The following is an 18,682-nucleotide window of genomic DNA, read 5'->3' on the forward strand; positions in this document are numbered from 1 at the left end:
CACAGCAATCCAGCCTGGATGACAGAGCCAGACTCCATGTCAAAATAAAATAAAAACTCTATTGAGGTGAAGGGTGAAGCTTTAAGTTGTTACATACTTCACTGATTTCCTCAACCCTTTTTGGCTCCGTTTTACTATAGCCCGTATTTTGTTGGTTATGACTAATATTTGTGGAAAGAGGTCTTGTGTTTAGTGCATTATAATGGCATCAGTACTACTTCGGCTGGTTTAAGTACTAATGAATAAAACAACCATTTTTCCTTCAGTTGACTTTGGCCTGATTTCTCCTAGTGTTTCAATCAGTAAAAATACAGCTTAAACATAAATCTTTGTTACGTTTTTAGTTGGGGCGGGGGAGTAAATTAGCTGAGAACACTGCTATCTTAGAAATAGATAGAAAAAGCTGAATGTGGTGGCCCATGCCTGTAGTCCCAGCTACTTGGGAGGCTGAGGAAGGAAGATCGCTTGAGCCCTGGAGGACTCACTCCAGCCTGGGCAACAGTGAGTCCCCTGCCTCAAAAAATGGATAGAATTGAGTAAGTGGCTGGGCGAGGTGGCTCAGTCCTATAATCCCAGCACTTTGGGAGGCTGAACTGGGTGGATCATGTGAGGTCAGGAGTTCAAGACCAGCGTGGCCAACATGGCGAAACACCATCTCTACTAAAAATACAAAAATTTGTTGCAAGAGGTTGCAGTGAGCTAAGATCACACCACTGCACTCCAGCCTGGGCAACAGAGTGAGATTCCTGACCTCAAGTGATCTGCCTGCCTCTGCCTCTCAAAGTGCTGGGATTACAGGTGTGAGCCACTGCGCTTGGCCTTTTTTTTTTTTTAAGATGGTGTGTCACTAACATTTTAATAAAATTATTGGTTCTTACAAAGGGCAGATAATGAAGCTCCAATAAATTTGAGGAAATATTAAATAGTAATTCAGAGCCTAGAAATTTTGGAAAAAATATCTGGCTTCTCTTTGCTTTGGATTAAGTTCAGCTACAAAGCATGGGGGTAGTTTATATTTCTGTTATCCTGATGAGAAATCTGATGTGGTAGATACCACCCTCCACCTGCCGAAAGGATAATCTTGAGTAGATAATGGAACCAGTTTTACTGATCTAATGAGCATAGGAATTGTTCAGGGCCTTGGTGGCAGTTAACACGTGTGTGATGGCTGTGTGGGCAGCACTGATGGAATCTACAGGGCCTTCCCCAGTTTAGGAGATGTTAAGTATGACTGCAGGGTTACTGAGAGGCTGAGGAAAGATGCCTGACTTGAGGTCTGGGATCTGCGAGAGGGAAGATTTTGAGTTGCACATAGGCTTGAAGCATCTCATGTTGAAAGCATCAAGCTGGGGACTGAAGAAAGGAAGTAAGAGATGAGAGAAAAAAAGGAGATTGGTGTCTGGTTTTCACTGTTTAATTTGCTTTTGGAAATTAACCATTAATGGAAATACGACTTGTTTCCTACATCCAATAGGTCAATATTCAAGTTGAGGTGAAGACCTAGGGCAGAAGGTAGTAAAACCCACAGTCACCAAGAAACCAAAGAAAGGCTGTACGCAGTGGCTCACACCTGCAATCCCAGCACTTTGGGAGACTGAGGCAGGCGGATCACTTGAGGTCAGGAGTTCAAGACCATCCTGGCCAAATATGGTGAAACCCCATCTCTGCTAAAAATACAAAAATTAGCCGGTTATGGTAGCTCACACCTGTAATCTCAGCTACTTAGGAGGCAAAGGCAGGAGAATCGCATAAATTCTGGAGGTGGAAATGGCAGTGAGCTGAAATTGCACCACTGCACTCCAGCCTGGTGGAGAGTGAGACTCCAGCTCAGGAAAAAAAAAGAAAAAAGAAAATTTTCTTCTTTTCTTTTTTTTTTTTTTTTCCTGAGACACAGTCTCACTCTGTCACCCAGGCTGGAGTGCAGTGGCGTGATCTTGGCTCACTGCAACCTCTTCCTCCCAGGTTCAAGTGATTCTCCTGCTTCAGCCTTCGGAGTAGCTGGGATTACAGGTGTGTGCCACCATGTCTGGCTAATTTTTGTATTTTTAATAGTGACAGGGTTTCACCATGTTGGTTAGGCTGGTCTTGAACTCCTGACCTCGTGATCCTCCAGCCTCAGCCTCCCAAAGTGTTGGGATTACAGGCGTGAGCCACTGCATCCGGCCTGATTTCTTTTCTTTTCTTTTTTTTTTTTTTGAGATGATTCTCGCTCTGTCACCGGGCTGGAGTACAGTGGCACAATCTTGGCTCACTGCAACCTCTGCCTCCCGGGTTCCAGCAATTCTCCTGCCTCAGCCTCCCAAGTAGCTGAGACTACAGGTACGTGCCACCACGCCCAGCTAATTTTTGTATTTTTAGTAGAGGCAGGGTTTCACCATGTTGGCCAGGATGGACTCCATCTCTTGACCTGGTGATCTGCCCACCTCGGCCTCCCAAAGTGCTGGGATTACAGGCGTGAGCCACTGCGCCCAGCCCCGATTTTCTTTTTTTTTAAAGAATCATGGCTTTTGGTTGCAAGTCTGAAATAAATTTGCTCTTAAAAGCAAATTATTTAAGCAATAGAAAAATACATAATGAAGTTGATCTAGTAATTACACCTATTCAGATATAAACACTAAATAATTCAGCATATATTCTTACAGATTTTCAGCCAAAGATATTTTAGTACATATAATGTAGATGTTAATGGGTGGTTTTGTAAATTATAACACTATTATATTTTCTGGGTTTTTTTCTGAGACGGAGTTTCACTCCTGTTGCCCAGTGCAATGTCACAATCTTGGCTCACTCCAACCTCCGCCTCCCACGTTCAAGCGATTCTCCTGACTCAGCCTCTGGAAAGCTGGGATTATAAGCATACATCACCACACCCGGATAATATTGTATTTTTAGTAGACACGGGGTTTCTCCATGTTGGTCAGGCTGGTCTCAAACTCCCGACCTCAGGTGATCTGCCTGCCTTGGCCTCCCAAAGTGCTGGGATTAACAGGCGTGAGCTACCGTGCCCGTCTTTTTTTTTTTTTTGAGGCGAAGTTTTCCCCTGTCGCCCAGACGGCTGGAGTGCAGCATGCGATCTCATCTTACCATAACCTTCACATCCCCAGTTCAAGCCAATTCTCCTGCCTCAGCCTCCTGAGTAGCTGGGATTACAGGTGCATGCCACCACGCCTGGCTAATTTTTGTATTTTAAGTAGACACAAGGTTTCACCATGTTGGCCAGGCTGGTCTTGAACTTCTGACCTCAGGTGATCCCTCGGTCTCCCAAAGTGCTGGGATTACAGGCATGAGCCATTGTGCCCCAGTTTTTTTTTTTTTTTTTTTTTAAAGACAAAGTCTTGGCCAGGCAGGGTGGCTCATGCCTGTAATCCCAGCACTTTGGGAGGCCAAGGCTGGTGGATCACCTGAGGTCAGGAGTTTGAGACCAACCTGGCCAACATGGTGAAACCCCGTGTCTACTAAAAGTACAAGAAATTAGCCTGGTGTGGTGGCACGCGCCTGTAATCCCAGCTACTCGGGAGGCTGAGGCAGAAGAATTGCTTGAACCTGGGAGGCGGAGGTTGCAGTGAGCCAAGATTGCACCATTGCACTCCAGTTTGGGCAACAAGAGCAAATTCTGTCTCAAAAAAAAAAAAAAAAAAAGACAAGGTCTGGCTCTGCTGCCCAAACTGGGGTTCAGTGGTGCCATCTCAGCTCATTGCAGCCTCGACTTCCTGGATTCAAGGAATTCTCCTGCCTCAGCCTCCCAAATAGCTCAGACTACAGGCACGAACCACTATGCCCAACAAACTTTTGTATTATTTATTTATTTTTTTTGAGATGTTGCCCAGGCTGGAGTGCAGTGGCACAATCTCCACTCACTGCAACCTCTGCCTCTTGGGTTCAAGCGATTCTCCTGCCTCAGCCTCCCAAGTAGCTAGGATTACAGGTACCACACCTGGCTAATTTTTGTATTTTTAGTAGAGTTGGGGTTTCACCATTTTGGACAGGCTGGTCTTGAACTCCTGACCTCAAGTGATCCGCCCGCCTCAGCCTTCCAAAGGGCTGAGATTACAGGCGTGAGCCACCGTGCTCGGCCTATCATAGATAACTTTCTATACACTAAAATTGGATCTGGCTCATTCATTTTAATTACTATGTAATAATAAATATTACAGATGTATCACGATTTAAGTTGTTTTTATTTTTGTTTTGACTTTTGAGCACTATATATAACTATTAACATTTTTAAAAAATTTTTTTAAAAATTTTTTTGAGACGGAGTCTTGCTCTGTCACCCAGGCTGGAGTGCAGTGGCACGATCTTGGCTCACTGCAACCTCCGCCTCCCAGGTTCAAGTGATTCTCCTGGCTCGGCCTCCCAAGTAGCTGGGATTACAGGCGCCGGCCACCACGCCCGGCTTATTTTTGTATTTTTTAGTAGAGATGGGGTTGCACCACGTTGACCAGGCTGGTCTCGAACTCCTGACCTCAGGTGATCCACCTGCCTCGGCCTCTCAAAGTGCTCAGATTACAGGCATGAGCCACCGCACCCGGCCTGCTATTAACATCTTGACATTAATTTAAATAAATGTTAAGGTGTAGATTTTTTTTTTTTTTGAAACAGAATTTTGCTGTTGTTGCCCAGGCTGGAGTGTAATGGCACGATCTCAGCTCACTGCAACCTCTGCCTCCCGGTTTCAAGTGATTCTCCTGCCTCAGCCTCCCAAGTAGCTGGGATTACAGGCATGCACCATCATGACTGGCTAATTTTGTATTTTTAGTAGAGATGGGGTTTCTCCATGTTGGTCAGGCTGGTCGTGAACTCCTGACGTCAGGTGATCTGCCCGTGTTGGCCTGCCAAAGTGCTGGGATTACTGGCATGAGCCACCACGCCCGGCCGATAGCTTTTTTTTTTTTAGACAGAGTCTCGCTCTGTCGCCCAGGCTGGAGTGCAGTAGTGCCATCTGGGCTCACTGCAACCTGCGCCTCCTGGGTTCAAGCAGTTCTCCTGCCTCAGACTCCCAAGTAGCTGGGATTACAGGCACCTGCCACCATGTCCGGCTAATTTTTTGTATTTTTTAGTAGAGATGGGGTTTCGCCATCTTGGCCAGGCTGGTCTTGAACTCCTGACCTCATGATCCACCCGCCTTGGCCTCCCAAAGTGCTGGGATTATAGAAGTGAGCCACCGCGCCCGGCCGATATGTTTTTAAAAATTAAAAAATGCCATTCTTTATGTTCCTGCTCACTTCATGGCTAAATGAGAACTAATCACTGACTACTATTAGCCAAGTGATTAAAAGTTAAAAAATGTAAGCTCTATGTTGTCTTTATGGTCCAAAAACTTAATGCCTAAGAAGGTGAAAGATCAGCAAATAAACATTAAAGCAAAATTCACTATACATAAGCCACCTTAAGAAGAGGCTTGAAAAGTTGCCAATAAGAACTTGGAGATGTGCCAACCTAATTTAAGGCTTTTCAGCTTATCCTTTCTAGGTCACCGGATCACCAACAATATAAACAAATATAATAATAGGAGATTAAGCAAAAAGGAAATTATAAATTCACAAGTCAGGCTCTCCTTTTTACATCTCTTCCTTTCCCCTAGAAAATTTTGCTTTCTTTGTTCTTTTCCCAAAAGGAGGTGTGTGTTACTTCCAACATTATATTTTAGTAACTTTACCATATTTTAGTTTTTAAAATTCATTTTCTTGATTTTTCAGCTTCCATTTCCATTTCAGTTTGTACCTGAAGGAGAGAAGCATGGATTGAATTTGCCTGGGTTTTCCGAATTTCATAATATAAATTCAAAGCTCAGAAGTGGGAGGAATACAGGCCTTGATTAGTGAATTTCAAGCTCAGTTCTCGGGGTGAAGGACAAGGTTAATTCTACTGTAAATAATCCTACCATTCAGAAAAGCTGGTGTGTCCAAGGAAGAAAAAACAGGCTGTGACTACAAACCTAAAAGTAAAGGCAAACAGCTGCCAGACAGAGGCAGGAAAGTGGGGGAGAGCCCTTGGTAAATATTGCATGCCTCCTGGGGCCCCCATGGGCTTTGACTCAAGGGGGAGATGAAGGGAATTTGTTAAAGAAAGAAGTCACTGGGACAGACAAAAGCTTCCGGCACAGGAAGTTAGTTCGACTAAGGATACCGAAATGTAGGAATTTGAATGGGTTCCTGGGTGTGAGGTTGAAGTGAAACTTGATTGAAAAGAAGCTGCTGGTGGTGAGTCTCTCCTTAAGCTATTCCTGGCTTCTGGGTAGTTGGTATAAACTTTGTGGTCCTCGAATAAAATGTTCTTGAGAATTTTAAAGGGTTAAGCACCTGGGAAATTACTTCAATGCAATGGTAGCACTACCTCCAATGACACTACCAAGCAAACTATTAAGAAACAGAAAAGCTCACAGATCAAATTAAGATACTAGAATCATATTAAATCACTTAAATACATGGCACAAAGCACAGTAAAAAAAGATGGGATACATTAATCCATTTAGGATAAGGTGCATGTGGAGTAGAAAGGGTAGCAGTGTTTACATGTCCTCTGATACACTGGCGTAGTCACAAGAGCTAAGGACAAGAACCAAGGGTGAGAATTTGAGATTCAATTAGGGCCAGGGATCTGCAGAACAGATGTACCTGGAACATGGGTGTCAATGTGCTCTTATCAGAGAGACAAAGGGGTAGGTATTCCTGGCCACAAAAGTAGTTCTCCTTGGCTCATTGAGCAGCACTTTTTTTTTTTTTTTGAGATGGAATCTTGCTCTGTCACCCAGGCTGGAATGCAGTGGTGTGATCTCGGTCCACTGCAACCTCCGCCTTCTGGGTTCAAGTCGTCATTCTCCCTCAGCCTGCTGAGTAGCTGGGACTACAGGTGCATACCACCACACCTGGCTAATTTTTCTATTTTTAGTAGGGACAGGGTTTCACCATATTGGCCATGCTGGTCTCGAACTCCTGACCTCATGATCTGCCTGCCTCAACTTCCCAAAGTGCTGCGTTTATAGGTGTGAGCCACCACGCCCGGCCCCAAATCTCATTTCTTAAGTCTCGTCCTTCCTCAGCCTTTCAGTAATCCTACAGTCATACTTTTGTTTTGAGACAACATTTTGCTATGTTGTTTAGGCTGGAGTGTAGTGGCACGATCATGGCTCACTGCTACCTCAACCTTTTGGGTCTAACAGATCCTCCCACATCAGCCTCCCTAGTAGCTGGGATCACAGGCTAATTTTTTTTTTTTTTTCTATTTTTTGTAGAGACAGGCTCTCACTATGTTGCCTAGGTTGGTCTCCAACTCCTGGACTCAAGGGATCCTCCCATCTTGGCCTGCAAAAGTGCTGGAATTGCAGGTGTGAGCCCCACCAGGCCTGCAATCATACTTAGCCCTCAAGCTGTGTAAGGCTCTGTAGGTTCTTTCAGTGCAGTCCACACAACTATCACACACAGTTCCTGGTCAATTCTTATCTCATTATGTCAATAAAAGTGACTCCTTTTATTTACTCAGAGTTGCTGCCCTCTATCGGTGCGGGGGGCGGGAAAGACCATGTTTTAAGTATCTGCCACATCAGTCTTTTCTTTTTTTTTTTTTTTTTTTGAGTTGGAGTCTCCCTCTGTCTCCCAATCTAGAGTGCAGTGGCAGGATCTCAGCTCACTGCAACCTCCACCTCCCGGGTTCAAGCAGTTGTCTTGCATCAGTCTCCTGAGTAGCTGGGATTACAGGTGCACACCCACCATGCCCAGCTAATTTTTGTATTTTTAGTTGAAGTGGGGTTTCACTATGTTGGTCAGGCTGGTCTCAGACTCCTGACCTTGTGATCCGCCTGCCTCGGCCTCCCCAAGTGCTGGGATTACAGGCGTGAGCCACCACTCCTGGCCACATCAGTCTTTGTCAGGATAAGAGAGATGATCATTATTCTTAACTCTTAGCGATGTATTTTTATTATGCCTTTTTTAAAAAACATGTTTTTTCCTTTTTTTTCCTTACAGTTCTATAGGTCAGAATACTCTGCCTCTTTTTATTTTTTTTTGAGATGGAGTCTTGCTCTGTCTCCCAGGCTGGAGTGCAGTGGCATGATCTTGGCTCACTGCAACCTTTGCCTCCCGGATTCAAGCGATTCTTCTTCCTCAGCTTTCCGAGTAGCTGGAATTACATGTGCCTGCCACCACGCCCAGCTAATTGTTGTATCTTTAGTAGAGACGGGGTTTCGCCATGTTGGCCAGGCTGCTCTCCAACTCCTGACCTCAGGTGATCCGCCTGCCTCGGCGTCCCAAAGTGCTGGGATTACAGGCGTGAGCCACCTCAGCAGTCCTACTCTGCCTCTTACGTCACTTACATCTTCCAAAAGAAGAGTGAAAAACAGGCCGGGCGCAATGGCTTACACCTGTAATCCCAGCTCTTTGGGAGGCCAAGGCAGGCGGATCACCTGAGGTCAAGTGTTTGAGACCGGCCTGGCCAACATGGAGAAACCCCAACTCTACTAAAAATACAAACATTACCTGGGCCTGGTGGCATGTGACTGTAATCCCAGCTTTTTGGGAGGCTGAGGCAGGAGAAGAATCGCTTGAACCTGGGAAGCAGAGGTTGCGGTGAGCCAAGATGGCGCCACTGTACTCCAATCTGTAATAGAGTGAGACTCTTTTTCAAAAAAATAATAATAATACATAAATAAATACAAACATTAGCTGGGCGTGGTGGCACGCGCCTGTAATCCCAACTACTCTGGGGGCTGAGGCAGGAGAATCATTTGAACCTGGGAGGCAGAGGTTGCAGTGAGCCAAGATCCTGCCACTGCACTCCAGCCTGGGCAACAAGAGCAAGACCCTGTCTCTGAAAAAAAGAATAGTGAAAAATAAAGTGAGTTCCAATTTGGAGGTAAATACCTTTCAGAGTACTTTAGATTTACACAGCACTCAATTACATGAGAAAATATTTATAAACTGTGCTTCACTTGAACTGTAAGCTATACTCTGAGGTTAACTGCCATTTGTGTGTTGACACTCTAAAGCTCTGTAAGTTTTTTTTTTTTTTTTAAGACTAGTCAGGCCGGGTACGATGGCTCACACCTGTAATCCCAGCACTTTGGGAGGCTGAGCTGGGTGGATCACCTGAGGTCAGGAGTTCAAGACTAGCCTCACCAATACGGTGAAACCTCGTCTCTACTGAAAATACAAAAATTAGCCCAGCATGGTGGTGCACGCTTGTAACCCCAGCTACCTGGGAGGCTGAGGCAGGAGAATCGCTTGAATCTGGAGGCGGAGGTTGCTGTGAGCCGAGATCATGACACTGCACCCTAGCCTGGGTGGTCTCGGAAAAAAATAAAAATAAAAATTGCTGGGCGAGGTGGCTCACACCCACATCTGTAATACCAGCACCTTAGGAGGCCAAGGCGGGCAGATCACTTGATGTCAGGAGTTTGAGACCAGCCTGGCCAACATGGTGAAACCCTGTCTCTACTACAAATACAAAGATTAGCCTGGTGTGGTGGCATGTGCCTGTAGTCCCAGCTACTTGGGAGGCTGAGGCAGAAGAATCACTTGAATCCCCGAGGTGGAAGTTGCAGTGAGCCCAGTGCACTCCTGCCTGGGCGACAGAGTGAGAGTCTGTCTCAAAAAAAAAAAAAAAGGGAATTTGAGACCAGCCTGACCAACACAGAGAATGGAGAAACCCCATCTCTACTAATAATACAAAAATTAGCCGGGCATAGTGTTGCATGCCTGTAATCCCAGCTACTCGGGAGACTGAGGCAGAAGAATCGCTTGAACCCAGGAGGCCAAGGTTTCGGTGGGCTGAGATCGCACCATGGCACACCAGCCTGGGGATCAAGAGCGAAACTCCGCCTCAAAAAAACAAAAAAACAAAAAAAAAGAAAAAAGAAAAAAAAGAAGGAAAGCAAGCTTATTAGGAAAGTAAAGGAACAAAAGAATGGCTACTCCAGAGGCAGAGTAGCCTAGCCTGGTGCAGCCACTTTGGAAAACAGTTTGATAGTTTCTCAAATGGTTAAAGATAGAGTTACTATATAACCCAGAAATTCTACTCCTAGGTATATTATCCGAAGAAAATGAAAATGTATTGTGATGGTTAATATTGAGTGTCAATTTAATTGGATTGAAGTATGCAAAGTATTGTTCCTGGGTGTGTCTTGTCTGTCAGGTGTTGCCAAAGGAAATTTACATTTGAGTCAGTGGACTGGGAAAGGCAGACCCACCCTCAATCTGTGTGGGCACAAGCTAATCAGCTACCAGTGAGGCCAGAATAAAAGCAGGCAGAAGAACATGAAAAGACCAGACTGGCTTAGCCTCCTGGCCTACATCTTTCTCCTGTGCCAGATGCTTCCCGCCCTTGAACATCGGAATCTAAGTTCTTTAGCTTTGGGACTTGGACTGGCTTCTTTGCTCCTCAGCTTGCAGACGGCCTATTGTGGGACCTTACCTTGTGATCGTGTGAGTCATACTCCTTAATAAACTCCCTTTTATATATACATCTATCCTATTAGTTCTGTCCCTCTAGAGAAGCCTGACTAATACACATATGACCACATAAAAAAGTTGTTCATAGGTGTTCACTGCAGAATTCTTGACAATAACACCAAATTGGAAACAACCCCATCCATTCACCAATAAATGGATAAACAGGCTGGGCGCGGTGGCTCACGCCTATAATCCCAACACTTTGGGAGGCTGAGGTGGGCAGATCACTGGAGGTCAGGAGTTCCAGACAGCTGGGCAAACATGGTGAAACCCTGTCTCTACTAAAAATACAAAAATTAACCGGGTGTGGTGGTGTGCACATGTAGTACTAGCTACTTGGGAGGCTGAGGTGGCAGAATTGCTTGAACCCAGGAGGCAGAGGCTGCAGTGAACCAAGACTGTACCACTGTACTCCAGCCTGGGCAACAGAGTGAGATTCTGTCTCAAAAAAAAAGATAAATTAAATGTAGTATGTCCGTGCAATGTAATATTATTCAGCCATTAATAGGAATGAGGTACTGACCCATGCTGTAACATAGATGAATCTTGAAAATGTTATGCTAAATGTATAAAGCTAGTCACAAAAGATCACATATTGTGTAATTCCTTTTACATAAAATGTCCAGAATAGGTAAACCTATAGAGGTAGAAGGTACATTAGTGGTTGTTTAGGGCTGGGGTAATGGAGAGAGAGGCACAATAGTTAAAGGGTCCAGAGTTTCTTTTCCGTTTTTTTTTTTTTGTTTTTGTTTTTGTTTGAGACAGAGTCTTGCTCTGTCAGCCAGACTGGAGTATAGTGGCATGATCTTAGCTCACTGCAACCTCCAACCTCCGTCTCCCAGGTTCAAGCGATTCTCCTGCCTCAGCCTCTGTAGCAGCTGGGACTACAGGCACGTGCCACCACACCTGGCTAATTTTTGTATTTGTGGTAGAGACAAGGTTTCACCATGTTTGCCAGGCTGGTCTCGAAATCCTGACCTCAAGTGATCCACCTGCCTCAGCCTCCCAAAATGCAGGGATTATAGGCATGAGCCGACGAGCCTGGCCAAGATGTATTATATTTTTTAATACATTGCTAGATATGATATTCTAATAATTTGTTTGCCTCTATATGAATCAATAAAATTGGTCTGCCTGAGACCCTGTCTCAAAAAAAAATTTTTAATAAATAAATAAAAATCTAATGTGATAATCTACTATTATTTGAAAAGCTTATCCCATTATATTTGTTATTGCTTATATAATTAGATTTTTTCCTATCATTCTATTATCTGCTTTCTACTTTGTAATGCTTTTTCTGTTTTCTCTTCCCAAACCCTTTTCTGTTCTTTTAAAGGTAGTTGGTTGTCTGGCCGGGCGTGGTGGCTCACCCCTATAATCCCAGCACTTTGGGAGGCCGAGACGGGTGGATCACCTGAGGTCGGGAGTTCGAGACCAGCCTAACCAACATGGAGAAACCCCGTCTCTACTAAAAATACAAAAAATTAACCAGGCGTGGTGGTGCATGCCTGTAATCCTAGCTACTTGGGAGGATGAGGCAGGAGAATCACTTGAACCCGGCAGGCAGAGGTTGTGGTGAGCCGAGATCGTGCCATTGCACTCCAGCCTGGGCAACAAGAGGGAGATTCCGTCTCAAAAAAAAAAAAGGTAGTTGGTTTGTGTGGTGTGTGTGTGTAATTCTAGCTACTCGAGAGGCTGAGGCGGGAGGATTGCTTGAGCCCAGGAATTCACGTCCAGCTTTGGCAACATAGCAAGATTCCATCTTTTAAAAAAAAAAAAAAAAATTGGTTGGTTTGTTTTTCTTTACGTAGTCTGTTTTTTTCCCCCATGTAAAATATTTGGAATTTATCATCTATAAGGCTTATTCATTTAATAGTGACTGGGTTCAAGCGATTCTACTGCCTCAGCCTCCTGAGTTGCTGGGATTACAGGCGTGCACCACCATGCTAGGCTAATTTTTGTATTTTTAGTAGAAACGGGGTTTCACTGTCTTGGCCAGGCTGATCTCGACCTCCTGACCTCTAGTGATCCACTCGCCTCAGCTTCCCAAAGTGCTGGGATTACAGACGTGAGACACCATGCCCATCCAAATTTTTGGATTTTGTTTTGTTTTGTTTTGTTTTTGGAAATGGAGTTTTGCTCTTGTTGCCCATGCTGGAGTGCAATGGCCTGATCTCAGCTCACTGCAACCTCTGCCTCCCGGGTACAAGTGATTCTCCTGCCTCAGCCTCCCGAGTAGCTGGGATTACAGGTATATGCCACCATGCTCGGCTAATTTTGTATTTTTAGTAGAGACAGGGTTTCACCATGTCGGTCAGGCTGGTCTCAAACTCCTGACCTCAAGTGATCCACCCACCTTGGCCTCCCAAAGTGCTGGTATTACAGGTGTGAGTCACTGTGCCCAGCCTTTTGTATTTTTAGTAGAGACAAGGTTTTGCCATGTTGTCCAGGATGGTCTCGAACTCCTGACATCAGGTGATCCACCCGCCTCAGCCTCCCAAAGTGCTTGGATTACAGACGTGAGCCACTGCGCCTGGCCTCTTATTTTATAATTGACTACTTTGAACTCTGAGTTGAACTGGCATTCCTCCAGAAAAGATTTACATTTGCTTCTCTCAGTTGTTTAGGACCTGTACTAATCTAGAACCGCTTTAAGTTATATTTTCTATTTGTAGATTTTTAGCCACACAGTTAGCATAAAATCAGACAACGACACTGCATGGGGACCAATGTGTAGTTAAGAATTCTTGGCGAGATTTTTTTTTCCTCCTCTGTCCAGCACCAAGGTGAAAAAGCAAAAGAGGACTGCTGTCTTCTTCTGAACCATGGTTTGATCTCTTGTTCATCCTTTATGCAGAGATCTCCTTTTAGACTACCTAGACTTTATCTTGGGCCTCCACACTCCATGAAGCCTTCCTGGGAAAAGTCCAATATCAATGAAGCTTCCCAAATCTATGAAGAAGGAAAAAGCTACAATTTTGTTGTTGTTGTTGTTGTTGTTTTTTGAGACGGAGTCTCGCTTTGTCGCCCAGGCTGGAGTGCAGTGGCACAATCTCGGCTCGCTGCAAGCTCCTCCTCCCAGGTTCACACCATTCTCCTGCCTCAGCCTCCCGAGTAGCTGGGACTACAGGCGCCTGCCACCATGCCCCGCTAATTTTTTGTATTTTTAGTAGAGACGGGGTTTCACCATGTTAGCCAGGATGGTCTCGATCTCCTGACCTCGTGATCCGCCCGCCTCGGCCTCCCAAAGTGCTGGGATTACAGGCATGAGCCACTGCGCCTGGCCAAAAGCTACAATGTTTTAAAAAGAGAGATGATTGAGAATTTTCTAAATATTTGTTGTGTGTACTTACGCTTTTAAAAGTAGAATATAATCACGGCAAAATGTTTATTTTATTTTTGATACAGAGTTTCGCTCTTGTTGCCCAGGCTGGAGTGTAATGGCACTATCTTGGCTCACCGTAACCTCTGCCTCCTGGGTTCAAGCGATTCTCCTGCCTCAGCCTCCCGAGTAGCTGGGATTACAGGCATGAGCCAGCACGCCCGGCTAATTTTGTATTTTTAGTAGAGACAGGGTTGCTCCATGTTGGTCAGGCTGGTCTCGACTCCCAACCTCAGGTGATCCGCCAACCTTGGTCTCCCAAAGTGCTGGGATTCCAGGGGTGAGCCACCGTGCCAGCCCAGCAAAATATTTAAAAAGCACAAGATGGAAAAAATTTAAAAGTAAATGTCTTCTCAATAAGATCTCTTCCCATTATTCAGAGGTAACCATTATTAACAATTTATTCAATATCACTCCGGAAACTATGCTTATCTAAGCCTACATAAGTAAGATTCCTTTTCTTATCTTCCTTCTTTTTTTTTTTTAAACAAATGGGGTCATACTGAATATGTTATTCTCTAATTTCTTTTCTTTACTCAGTGATACATCATGGATGTTGTAACATAGCAGCACCAAATATCTACCTAATTATGTAGAGTATCTGCATAGTACTATATTCCACGGATGTTTCAAAATTTATGTTTACCAGTTTCTTATTGGGATATTTAGGTTTTATTTTTTATTTATTTTATTTATGTTTTTGAGACAGAGTCTTGCTCTGTCGCCCAGGCTGGAGCGCAGTGGCGGGATATCGGCTCACTGCAAGCTCCACCTCCCGGGTTCACGCCATTCTCCTGCCTCAGCCTCCTGAGTAGCTGGGACTACAGGCGCCCGCCAGCCACCATGCCCGGCTAATTTTTTGTATTTTTAGTAGAAACAGGGTTTTACCGTGTTAGCCAGGATGGTCTCGATCTCCTGACCTCATGATCCGCCCGCCTCAGCCTCCCAAAGTGCTGGGATTACACGCGTGAGCTACCGCGCCTGGCCAGGATATTTCAGTTTCATATCTTTTCTTTTCGAGATAGGGTCTCCCTCTGTCGCCCAAGCTAGAGTGCAGTGGTATGACCTCGGTTCACTGCAACCTCGACCTCCTGGCTCAAGCGATCCTCCTGCCTCAGCCTCCCGAGTAGCTGGGATCACAGGCACGTGCCACCACACCTGACTAAATTTTAAATTTTTTGTAGAGACGGGGGTCTCTCTATATTGCCTAGGCTGGTCTTGAACTCCTGGCTCAAGTGATCCTTCTGCCTCGGCCTCCTAAAGTGCTGGGGTTACAGGCGTGAGCCACTGCACTCTGCCCTCCCTGTGTTCTTCACCACTTCCTCTTCCCTTCCAAGGCCACCAGTAAATCTATCTTCTTTCTCTCTGTAGAATGGCCTATTCTGGAAATTTCGTCTCAATTGAGTAATATAGTATGTGGTCTTTTATGATTGGCTTCTTTCACTTTTTTTCTTTTGTTTATTTTTTTGAGACGGAGTCTCAGTCTGTCGTCCAGGCTGGAGTGCAATGGCACGATCTCGGCTCACTGCAACCTCTGCCTCCCGGGTTCAAGCGATTCTCCCGCCTCAGCTCCCAAAGTGCTGGGATGACAGGCTCGAGCCGCAGCACCTGGCCAATTTTCTCATTTAAAAAAATGAAACTTAGCCGGGCGCGGTGGCTCACGCCTGTCATCCCAACAGTTTGGGAGGCCTAGGCGGGCGGATCACCTGAAGTCGGGAGTTCGAGACCAGCCTGGCTAACATGGTGAAATCCTGTTTCTACTAAAAATACAAAAAATTAGCCGGGCGTGTAGCTGGGCGTGGTGTCGCGCGCCTCTCATCCCAGCTACTCGGGAGGCTGAGGCAGGAGAATCGCTTGAACCCGGGTGGCGGAGATTGCGGTGACCTGAGATCGTGCCATTGCACTCCAGCCTGGGCGACAAGAGCGAAACTCCGTCTCAAAAAAAAAAAAAAAAATTAATGTAATCCCTGAAATGTATCCCAACTCAGGCGTCAACCCTATCAAGTAACACAGCCTAGAGCAATACAGAAAGGGCAGTTAAATTCACTTACCTGCATTGGAAGGCAGGTCAAGGTCGCTGGGTTCCAGGTATATCCTGGGTCATAGCAAAGAATATTAGTGATGATGAGCAAACTAAGATAGAATGACAGGGTTCTGCAGCTGCCCACGCCTGCGCAGTGAAGAGGACTCGCGGGGTAACCAGAGCAGCCCAGGCCCAGCCTTTTTGCAGGGTCTCCAGTTTCTCGCCCCCCCCGCTTCAGCACCCCCCTTCCCCTCCCCCTTCCCCCCCCCCGCCGCCCCACCGCCTCCGTGCGCCAGTCCCAGCCTCATGCGGCCGCCGGGCTATTGGGAGGTGGGTGGTCGCGGCCGCAGCGCCAAGTCGGGCTGGCGGGCTCAGTGCTCGCTGGGGGCAGGGCGGCGAACTGGAGGAAGAGGGTGGACGTTGGTGAGAACCGCAGTTTCAGCCACGCCAGTGCAGCGAAGGCCCCCGATCAAAAAGACAGATTTGTTACTAGATGATTCATCGGTGCCATTCTTTGGGTATCTACAGCTCATGATGAGAGAGGACGGCGTGATGAAGGCCCACAGCGCGGAGCCCAAGCGGGCCTCATAAGCCTCACCTGCAGTTTGGCTGAAACATAACCTCGCAGCTCTGAAGCTCCAGGCCCAGAGGCGCTCCCTCCACCTTTTCCTTGTCTCACTTGCCCAGCCCTGAGCAGGCGACCCCTAGCCCAACCTCAACCATCTGGGGCCACTTGGAACCTTGGCCAAGTTTCTGCAACAAACACTTGATTCCAAAAAAAAGGAGGGTGGCGGGGTGGGGGACTTGAAATTTCTCTAAAAGCCCAGGTGGCTTTGGGAGGTGTGGAAGGGGGAAATCCCCTCAACCAATACCCACTATTATCTACCCAGCCATCTAACACTTATTGTGCTAGTTATAAATTTATTGTCTGTCAGCTCCGAATTCATCCCTCAATACCTGCTTTTTTTTTTTTTTTTTTTTTTGAGACGGAGTCTCGCTCTGTCGCCCAGGCTGGAGTGCAGTGGCACGATCTCGATCTCGGCTCACTGCAAGCTCCGCCTCCCGGGTTCACGCCATTCTCCTGCTTCAGCCTCCAGACCAGCTGGGACTACAGGCGCCCGCCACCACGCCCTGCTAATTTCTTGTATTTTTAGTAGAGACGGGGTTTCACCATGTTAGCCAGGATGGTCTCGATCTCCTGACCTTGTGATCCGCCCGCCTTGGCCTCCCAAAGTGCTGAGATTACAGGCTTGAGCCACTGCGCCTGGCCAATACCTGCTTTTAAAAGGTTGGAATTCCTTTAAGCATTTCCTTTTTAGAGTACTAAGAACAATGCTTTCTTAGTAGATGGTGCTGGAAGGATACTGCAGGATGAAGGGGGATTCTCTTGCTGGTTCCAGTGCCTGCACCATAGGTTAGCAGTATAGATGAGAGAAAATTTGATGGTGACCTGCCCCAGCCACACCCTGGCCTGGTGGTCACTTTCCACAGGGATGCCACACTCTAAGCCTCCCACCCCTCTGGTGCCTCGACTCCATCTGCACATCTGCATGTCTGGTCACCAGCTGTGTGTTCCCTGCTTGCCCAGGGACTGCACACCAGCACTGACCCAGGCAAACTACCAGACTTCTCTGCTCTCCAGTAGACTGAAACTCTACATTCTCCAATAAGGTGTGCACGTCAGTTTTGAGGAGATGGCAGTGGCCTTCCTTCCAAGTTTGTCATTTCTTGGATAATCTCCCTCAGCTCTAGGAAACTGCATTTTGTCTTATACCTTTTTTTTTTTAAAGGAGTTTTGTTCTTATTGCCCAGGCTGGAGTGCAATGGTACGATCTTGGCTCACGGCAACCTCTGCCTCCCTGGGTCAAGCGATTCTCCTGCCTCAGCTGGGATTACAGGCGCCTGCCACCAAGCCCGGCTAATTTTTCTTTGTATTTTTAGGAGAGACGGGGTTTCAGCATGATGGCCAGACTGGTCTCGAACTCCTGACCTCAGGTGATCCACCCACCTCAGCCTCCCAAAGTGCTGGGATTACACGTGTGAGCCACCGCGCACGGCCTATAGCTTGATATTCTTTATATTATTTCCAAAAAAAAAAAAGTGTCATTTTTGTCTTCTGATAGGACCCAGACTGACACTTTAAATAAACATCACTTAGGGCCGGGTGTGGTGGCTCACGCCTGTAATCCCAGAACGTTGGGAGGCTGAGGCTGGCAGATCACGTGAGTCCAGTTCAAGACCAGCCTAGTCAACATGGCCAAACCCGATCTCTACACAAAAATTAGCTGGGTGTGGTGGCCTATGCCTGTAGTCTCAGCTACTTGGGAGACTAAGTCAAGAAAATCGCTTGAACCCGGGAGGCTGAGGATGCAGTGAGCCGAGACCACACCATTGCACTCCATCCTGGATAACAAGAATGAAGCTCTGTCTCAAAAAAAAAAAAAATGCATATAACAAGATGTGAAATTGGAGAGGCAAGGCTTTTAGGCAGATAGGGCAGTTGTGAAAATGAATCAAGGCAATTTAAACTGGGACCTAAGGTCACTAGATTTGTCAGTCATGGTGAAGGAGTTTGGATATTATTTTAAGTGGTAAGATGTAACTGGAAGGCTTTAAGCAGCAGAGTAACATTCAATTTTAAAAGATCACTCTGGGCCAGGTGCGGTGGCTCACACCTGTAATCCCAACACTTTGGGAAGGCGGAGGTGGGCGGATCACTTGAGGTCAGGAGTTCAAAACCAGCCTGGCCAACGTGGTGGAACCCCATCTCTACTAAAAATATAAAAATTAGCCGGGTGTGGTGGCGCATGCCTATAATACCAGCTACTTGGG

General features: G+C 46.2%; 4 annotated features.

Moving 5' to 3' along the window:
* Positions 5,519–6,048: an enhancer, noted in NCBI's record as "OCT4-NANOG-H3K27ac hESC enhancer chr12:8057929-8058458 (GRCh37/hg19 assembly coordinates)". NCBI's record gives its function as "activates a minimal SCP1, AML or CMV promoter by ChIP-STARR-seq in naive H9 embryonic stem cells {active_cell/tissue: H9 hESC(naive)}" and the evidence as "EXISTENCE:reporter gene assay evidence [ECO:0000049][PMID:30033119]".
* Positions 8,173–8,704: an enhancer, noted in NCBI's record as "NANOG-H3K27ac-H3K4me1 hESC enhancer chr12:8060583-8061114 (GRCh37/hg19 assembly coordinates)". NCBI's record gives its function as "activates a minimal SCP1, AML or CMV promoter by ChIP-STARR-seq in primed H9 embryonic stem cells {active_cell/tissue: H9 hESC(primed)}" and the evidence as "EXISTENCE:reporter gene assay evidence [ECO:0000049][PMID:30033119]".
* Positions 9,767–10,296: an enhancer, noted in NCBI's record as "H3K27ac-H3K4me1 hESC enhancer chr12:8062177-8062706 (GRCh37/hg19 assembly coordinates)". NCBI's record gives its function as "activates a minimal SCP1, AML or CMV promoter by ChIP-STARR-seq in primed H9 embryonic stem cells {active_cell/tissue: H9 hESC(primed)}" and the evidence as "EXISTENCE:reporter gene assay evidence [ECO:0000049][PMID:30033119]".
* Positions 13,078–14,067: an enhancer, noted in NCBI's record as "H3K27ac-H3K4me1 hESC enhancer chr12:8065488-8066477 (GRCh37/hg19 assembly coordinates)". NCBI's record gives its function as "activates a minimal SCP1, AML or CMV promoter by ChIP-STARR-seq in primed H9 embryonic stem cells {active_cell/tissue: H9 hESC(primed)}" and the evidence as "EXISTENCE:reporter gene assay evidence [ECO:0000049][PMID:30033119]".

This window comes from Homo sapiens, chromosome 12 (genome assembly GCF_000001405.40).
Source record: "Homo sapiens chromosome 12, GRCh38.p14 Primary Assembly".
NCBI classification, from domain to species: domain Eukaryota; kingdom Metazoa; phylum Chordata; class Mammalia; order Primates; family Hominidae; genus Homo; species Homo sapiens.